This window comes from Homo sapiens, chromosome 7 (assembly GCF_000001405.40).
Source record: "Homo sapiens chromosome 7, GRCh38.p14 Primary Assembly".
NCBI classification, from domain to species: Eukaryota; Metazoa; Chordata; class Mammalia; order Primates; family Hominidae; genus Homo; species Homo sapiens.
Window position 1 is genome coordinate 23,660,342 of NC_000007.14, and position 9,070 is coordinate 23,669,411.

Consider the following 9,070-nt stretch of genomic DNA (forward strand, 5'->3'; position numbering starts at 1 on the left):
GAGGTTGCAGTGAGCCGAGATCATGCCATTGCACTCCAGCCTGGGCAACAAGAGCGAAACTCCATCTAAAAAAAAAAAAGAAAGAAAAAAAAGTTTATAGGATGTTGTAGCATTAATCAGTAGTTCATTTATTGTATTGCTGAGTGGTATTGAAACTGCCTTTGCAAAACTTAGAATAGTGAGAAATTTATGACAGTGAAGGAGATCTGATCTAACCAACCCCCATCTTGCCTTTAACTCCCAAATTGTCCTTAATCTTCCTAGGCGTGAGCCAAGTTAATTTTGGGAGAAATTTAGTTTGTAATTTAAATGATGGGGTAATAGCCATTCCCCAAGACTATACTGCCTTTGTAAAGCTAATGAAAGACCGCCAGATTAGAAGGATGAGAGGAGTCTGAATTCTGCTAAAGTGTAGACATTAACAGTTACCAGCTATTATTCCAGGGGTCGCAAGATTTGCAACTTCCCCAATTCCTCCTGCAGATAACATCATTATTGTACAATCTAAGATTGGCCTTTTGAGATGTATTTCCAGGCTTTTGCATTTCTGACTACTGATGGCCTCACCCACAACCCGCCAACTGGTCCTGGGACCCGACCAGAAGCAGATTCAGTGCTTCTCAGAAGAGGACCTTTCCCACACCACTATGATTGCACCCCCAACCAATCAGCAGCACGTATTCCCTAGCCACTCCCCTCTCCCCAAACTATCTTTGAAAAACCCTAGCCTCCGAATTTTCAAGGAGGCTGATTTGAGTAATTATAAAGCTCCAGTCTCCCATTTAGCTGGATATAGGTGCATCAAACTTTTAATCTTTTGCACTTCTCCTGTCTTGATAAATTGGCTTTATCTGGGCAGTGGGCAAAATGAACACTTTGGGTGGTTACAGTATTCCATTGTATAAATGTACCATAATTTGTTTATCCGTTCACCAGTTGATGGACATTTGGGCTATTTTATTATAGTTCCTTGTGATTATGACTAAAATTAATATAAACATTTATGTGTAGGCCTTTACGTGTTTATATATATTTCTATTTCTCTTGAGTAAATACCCAGGAGTGTTGGCATTTTTGGGACATATGATAAGTGCGTGTTTAACTGTATAAGAAACCATGAAACTGTTTTCCAGAGTGGCTGTACAATTTTGTATTCCCAACAGCAGTGTATGAAGAGTTCTAGTTCTGCTTCTTCATCAACATTTGATATGGTCAGTTTGAAAATTTTAGCAATTCTAATCACTATGACTAAATCACTGTCATAAAGCATTCTGATCAGTACTCAGTGGAAGACTTCCCTGCCTTGCAAATTCTAGCTGCACTGGCTTTGCTGAATTCTCAACCTTTCCTTTTCAATTTGGAGAGAATGGCCCTGTTTGGGTTCCCTTTCCCTGTGCTGTGGCCTGGAAACTCTCGTGCAGCATGCTGGCGGCCATTACAGGGCTTACTTCATTTGTTTTCCTTCTCTTAGGGGTCACTGTTCTGTGGTTCCTGTTGTTCAATCTAAAATTGTTTTATGTGTTTTTTCCTGGATTTTTTTGAAGTGGAGGAAGGGTGTATTAACAAAATCACCACAAATTTGGTGGATTAAAATGTCGGCCTAAAGGAAGAAACTGAGGCACAAAATATAATTTTAAAGAGTTGACTTGAGCCAGAATGAGGACAGTTGCCTGGAAGACAGACTCAAGTAACCTTGGATATGTTGAACTCCATTAGACCTTTGTTACAAGCAGGTTTTTAAAGGCAAAAACGGAGAGGAGGAGTGGGCTGCTACAAAGCTATTTGTCAGGAATTCTCATGGCTTTCCAGAAAATAACACTGATTAGTAATTGGCTATACATTGTTGAACTTCAGGGTGTGGGTTGTGGTGTCCATGGTGACAGTCTAAAGCGGGGCTCCCCAACTCTCAGGCCATGAACCTGCACCGGTCTGTGGCCTATTAGAAACTGGGAGCACAGCAGGAGGTGAGCAGCAGCAAGCAAGCATTATCACCTGAGCTCTGCCTCCTGTCGGATCAGCAGCAGCATTAGATTCTCAAAGGAGCACAGACAGTATTGCACATGTGAGGGATCTAGGTTGCACGCTCCTTATGAGAATCTAACTAATGCCTGATGATCTGAGGTGGAACAGTTTCATCCCCAAACCATCCTACCCCACCTCCCCAGTCCGTGGAAAATTTGTCTTCCATGACAAATTTTGGTCCCTGGTGCCAAAAAGTTGGGGACCACTGGTCTAGAGTCCACATAGCAAGCAGCTTCTAGAGATGATTACTTAGCTCAAAGGGGGGAAGGGTGACGTGATGTGACTGCTGTCACATTTCCCATGCCTCTCTGGCCTGGTAATTTAGAAGAGGCTCAATTTCTCACATAAAGAGTTCCCTTTCTTTCTCAAAAACAATACATTTATTTTCTTAGAGTTCCAGAAGTCAGAAATCTGAAATGAGTTACACTGACTGAAATCAAGGTGTTGGCAGGGCTGAGCTCCCCTGGAAGCTCTAGGGGAGAATATTTCCTTGCCTTTTCAGCTTCGAGAGCTTCATTCCTTGCATTCCTTGGCTTTAGGCCCCTTTTCCCATTTCCAAAGCCAGCAGCGTAGCATCTTGCTTCAGCCATCACATTGCCTCTGTTTCTGTTGTCAAATCTCTCTCTGCCTCCCTCTTATAAGGACATTTGTGACTACATTTAGTGTCCATTAGATAATCTCCTTATTGCAAGATCCTTAGTTTAATCTTCAAAGCCTCTTTTGCCATATAAGGTAACATTCACAGGTTCTAGGGATTTGGGCTTGGATATTTTGCGGGGTCATTATTCAGCCTACCACAGAGGGTGAATCCGGTTCCTATTTCTCCCTCACAGCTGGAAGTGGAAGTTCTTTTTTTGAATGTGCCTGTTTTTTTTAAATGTGCTTTTTTCCCTCATGCTTTGGATTTTTTCAAAAATAATAATAAATGTTGTAAACCAAAAATAAAATTCTAAGCCTCATGACCACCTGAAAGGACCCCTCCTCTCACAAAGGACTCCAAAACTAACCTGAAAAACTGTTTCAGGCCATGATGGGAAGGGGGGTGGTTGGACATGCCTCATTATATTCTTCTCCCTTTTAGAATTAATGATAGAACAGACTCGTTAAGTCTGATAAGAAACATTAACAATCTATTCTCTCTGAGGCCTGTTACCTGGAGGCTTCACCTGCATGATAAAATCTTGGTCTCCACACCCTTATTTTAACCCAGATATTCTTAAGTCTTTAGACAATAACTTTTTCAACCAATGGCCAATCAGAAAATCTTTGAATCTACCTATCACCTGGAAGCATGCCGTGCTTCCAGTTGTCCCACATTTCCAGACTGAACCAATGTACATCTTACATGTATTTGATTAATGTCTCATGTCTCTCTAAAATGTTTAAAACCAAGCTCTTCCCCAACCATCTTGGGCACATGTTCTCAGGATCTCCTGAGGGCTGTGCCTTGGGCCATTGGTCACTCTTATTTGGCTCAGAATAAATCTCTTCAAATATTTTCGAGTTTGACTATTTTTGTTGACAATGTACTTATTTTGTTGCTGGAGGGCTTAGGTGGGTTTCCAGAAGCTGGTGAGACCTCAGCCCCAGCCAGTTTCCAGGTTCTTGACACTCTCTCGAGAAAGAATTCAGGGATGAGTTGGAATGAAGCAAAAGGCAATAAGCTTTTATTGCCAAGTAAAAGTACACACTTAAGAGAGAAGCATGGGCATGCTTGTGAGAATGAGTTGTGCACAATGGTGTTTGGGTTTCTAATTTTATGGGTTTTTAAAAATTAGGTGGTGGAATAATCACCAGTTATTCTGGAAATGGAGGGGATTTCAGGGACCCCCCCATCCTCATTACCACCCCCATTTATCCCTTATTTGGGGTTGCCTGGAGAGTCACAGACATGTCACCCTGACCAGGGTTTTGACTGTTTTCTCTCCCTCATTTTGGGTTTTCTGTTATCTATGGTTTCATTGCCTACTTCCTGTTTTATACCCAGTGCTATTCCTATCTCTGTTTCATAGTCTCAATCTATAAAATTCTATTATTATAATTGCCTGATGGGTTCTTCCTGCCCACTGCACAGGCAAAACTAATTCACTGAGACCATGATTTTGCAATAAAGAAAGAGTTTTACACATGGCCAGCCACACCACACAGGACACAGAGTTATTACTCAAATCAGTTTCCCTGAAAATTTGGAGGCAGGGGTTTTCCAAGGATAGTTTGGCAGTCAAGGGAATGAGTGATGCTGGTTGGTTAGGGATACAATCATAGGGGTGTGGAAAACGGTCCTAGTATACTGAGTCTGCTTCTGGGTGAGGGCCACAGGACCAGTTGAGCCAAGAGTCATGGGTCTCGGTGGGGCCATCCAGTCATCAGAAATGCAAAAGCCTGAAAGGAGATCTCAGAAGGCCAATCTTAGGTTCTACAATAGTGAACTGGGGAAGTTGCACATCTTGTGACCTCTGGAATAATGGCTGGTAATCATTTAACTATGCTTACATCTTAGCAGAATTCAGGCCCCTCTCATCTTCCTAACCTCTTGGACTTTTGTTAGTTTTACAAAGGCAGTTTAGTTTTTGGGAAGGGCTATTATCATTCAAAATATAAACTAAATTTCTCCCAAAGTTAGCTTGGCCTACACCCAAGAATGAACAGGGGCAGTTTAGGAGTTCAGAAGCAAGATGGAGTGGGATAGATCAGATCTCTTTTACTGTCATAATTTTCTCATTGTTGTAATTTTTGCAAAGGTAGTTTCATTATTTAAAGTTCTTGGTGGTTAAAACCTGCTGTTTGTTGTGACTACGCATATTAATTCATGACAGTTTGTTTCTTATTTCTTTGTAATTTTGGATTGTGATCTCATGTTCAATGTCTTTTGTAGTGGGAATCCTGCTAGGCCTGGGCTGAGGTTTGTATCCTGATAGTCATTTTGCATTTGCTTTCTACCAGGTATCCTGGGAGTGTTGCCATCCCTCTAGGATTAATTTTTATCTTTTTATTTTGGTGGTTACAAGATTAGGTAGTTATGATGAATTAAACCTGAAACTCCTGTGAGGACAGGCTTGAAACACCTCCTTGAAACACGTCTTTTGCTTATCTTCTGTGGCATTACTTTTTCTTGTGTTTCATTCTCTTTTTTATCTTGCTGGATGCTTCTACTCAGTCTCTTTTCCTGGCTCCTCCTTTTCCTGCTCTAAACTTGGAAGTGTCCGAGGACCTCTGTTCTACTCTATTCGCATTCACCTCCTACTAAACTCATCTTGTTTCATGGTTTTAAATACCAATGATTTTCTGACTTTCTGGCTTTCAGTTTATGTCTCCTGCCTGGACTTCTTTCCTGAATTGCAGACCTAGATAGCCAGCTCTTTATTTATCATCTCCACTTGGGTGTCTACTAGGTTGTTTAAATTTAACGTGTCCAAAAATGAACTCTTGATTGCCACCCAACTGTTCCTTTGGCAGCGTCCCCTGTTTCAGTAAAAGGCAACTGCATTATTTTGTTCAGGCATAATACCTTGAAGTTATTCCTGATTCTTCTCTCTCAAATCGCATATATCCATCAGTATATCTTGTCAGCTTCTACCTTTGAAATATGCCAAGGATCCAATCAACCTTCCATTTCTCACCAACTCCACTGCCATCACCCCAGTCTAAGTTGCCACTGGTTTGCCTGGATTATTGTGATAGCCTTGTAACAGGTCTTCGGGTTTCCATCCATGCTTCTCCTTCAAAATATTCAGGGTTTGGGGAGAGTGGGTGGAGGTACAGGTGAATTAAGATTGGCCATGTATTGGCTGGGCACAGCGGCTCATGCCTGTAATCTTAGCACTTTGGGAGGCTGAGGGGCAGGCAGATCACTTGGGGTCACGTGTTCGAGATCAGCCTGGCCAACATGGCAAAACCCTGTCTCTACTAAAAATACAAAAAACAGCCAGGTGTGGTGGCATGTGCCTGTAATCCCAGCTACTCAGGAGGCTGAGGCAGGAGAATCTCTTGAACCCGGGAGATGGAGGTTGCAGTGAGCTGAGATCATGCCACTGCACTCTAGCCAGGGCAACATAGCAAGACTCTGTCTCAAAAAAAAAAAAAAAAAAAAGGAAAGAAAAAGAAAAAGATTGGCCATGTATTGCTAATTACTGAAATTTGGTGAGGGCAACATTGAGTTCATTATGCTGTTCTCTTTATTTTTGTGTATTTTTCCCTTTACAATTTTCAATGCTTTACAATTTTCTATGCCTGCATAGTCCAATATGGTAGCTACCATATGTAGCTATTGAGTACTTGAAACGTGACTAGTCTGTATTGAGATGTGCTGTGAGTATAAGATACATGCTGGACTTTAAAGACTTAGTAAGAAAGAAAAAAGTAAAAGATCTCATTAATATTTTGTTATATTGATTACATGCGGAGATGATAATATTTTGGTTATATAAGGTCAATTAAAATGTGTTATTAAAATTAATTTCACTTGCTTCTTTTCACTTTTTAAATATGGCTACTAGAAAATTAAAAATTACCTATGTGGCTCATGTCATCTTTCCGTTGGATCTATCAGGCCCTCTGTGTTCCGGACCCTGCTTCCTCTCTGACTGCATCTCCTACCATTTTTCTCATCTTTATTCACACCATTTCAACCACACTAATTTCATTGCTTAGAACAGGCAAAATACATTTCTGCCTCATGTCCTTTGCACTTGCTAATGTGTCTGCCTGGAGCTCTTTCTCGGTGTCTGTGTGACTCACTCCCTCGCTTCCTTCAGGATTCTGCTCAAGTCACCTACCTTTTGAGAGATACTTACCTGATCTCTAGAACATCCCATCACCTTCACTCTCTACTGTCCTTAATCTGCGTTCTTTTTCTTTTTCTTTTCTTTTCTTTCCTTTTTTTTTTTTTTCAGACGAAGTCTCGCTCTGTCGCCAGGCTGGAGTGCAGTGGTGTGATCTCAGTTCACTGCAACCTCCGTCTCCCGGGTTCAAGTGATTCTCATGCCTCAGCCTCCCGAGTAGCTGGGATTACAGGCACGTGCCACCACACCCAGCTGATTCTTGTATTTTTGGTAGGGACGGGGTTTCACCATGTTGACCAGGATGGTCTCGATCTCCTGTCCTCATGATCTGCCCGCCTTAGCCTCCCAAAGTGCTGTGTGAGCCACCGCACCTGGCCCTTTTTCTTTATAATACTTATCACCACTGATGCTTTTTTTTTTTTTTTTTTTGAGATGGGGTCTCACCCTTTCGTCCAGGTTGGAGTGCAGTGGCGCGATTTTGACTCACTGCAACCTCCACCTCCTGGGTTCAAGCAACCCTCCCTCCTCAGTCTCCCGAGTAGCTGGGATTACAGCCATGCGCCACCATGTCTGGCTAATATTTTTGTATTTTAGTAGGTACAGTGTTCCACCATGCTGGCCAGGCTGGTCTCAAACTCTTGACCTCAAGTGATCTGCCTGCCTTGGCCTTCCAAGGTGTTGGGATTACAGGCGTGAATCACCGTGCTCGGTCATGATGCTTTTATCTGTAGTCCTGTATCCTGACTACTTAGTATAATGCTTGATACAGAATAGGCATTTACTAACAAATTGTGAAATGAATAGCTATAGATTGTGAAGATTTTATCTCAAGTTCAATATTGACTTCTTCTGCAATAAAGTTCAGGTTCCCTAAATATATAAAGAGTAAAATAAACTCTAAATTACTTATAACTACATGAAATTCCCTAAATAAGAAAACAGGCCAGGCATGGTGGCTCACATCTGTAATCTGAGCACTTTAGGAGGCTGAGGCTGGAGGATCGCTTGAGCCCAGGAGTCTGAGACCAGCCTGGGCAACATGGTGAAACCCCATCTCTACCAAAAAAATAAAATAAAAATTTAGCTGAGTTTGGTAGTGCATGCCTGTAGTCCCAGCTATTTGGGAGACTGAGGTGGGAGGATCACTCACCCGTGCCTGGGAAGTTGAAGGTGCAGTAAACTGTGATTATGCCACTGCATTCCATCCTGAGTGACAGAGTTAGACCCTGTCTCCAAAAAAAAAAAAAAAAAAAAAAAAAGCTTTGTAAAATAAGATGGAATGAATGCCTGTTTTATTCCTTTCAAAGGAATTAAGGTAAAATAAACAACTTAGTACTACTCAATCTTTATATGTATTTGTAATTAGTAGCATGGAGAGTTTTAGAGATACTGGTGAGGAATTCAAGAAAGTAAATGAAATACAGATCAAGAGATACGTAAGAGTCAGAAACGACTTTTTCCCCATAGGTAAAATCCCATTTCTCAAAGGAATTTTTCAAATTCTTTTGTTGCTCTGGCATTTTTTATTGTATTAATAGTAATCCAGTAAATTGGACAATGTTAAGGAGCTTAGAAATTTTTGGGATACACTGAAATTTTTGTTGTGCTGGTAATTATTAACAAAACAATCTGGTTATAAAATAAATTTTTGAAAGCAGTCATTATTCTTTATTCAAAGCTTAAATGATGAGGCAGGAAAAGGAACAAAAAAGGGAAAAATGAGGACTATTTTTAACTTTGTCCTAATTTTTTAAATGTAAGATGACTATGACTAGGTGCGGTGGCTCACACCTGTAATCCCAGCACTTTGGGAGGCTGAGGTGCGTGGACTGCCTGAGCTCAAGAGTTTGAAACCAGCCTGGGCAACATGGTGAAACCCTGTCGCTACTAAAATACAAAAAATTAGCCGGGCGTGGTGGCACATGCCTGTAGTCCCTGCTACTTGGGAGGCTGAGGCAGGAGAATTGCTTGAATCCGGTAGACAGATGTTGCAGTGAGCCGAGATTACACCACTGCATTAGAGCCTGGGCAACAGAGCAAGACTCTGTCTCCAAATGAATAAATAAATAAATGGTAAGATGACTAAAGGTCTTAATGAAATAAAAGCAAAGGGATCTTGTCCTGAATATATTTATTAGGTTGGTACAAAAGTAATTGCTTTTTTATTACTTTTATGGCAAAAAACGCAATTACTTTTGCACCAAACTAATGCTTTTCTATTTCAATTTCAGTCTTGAGCACAGCATCCCCTTCAAATGTAACTGGAA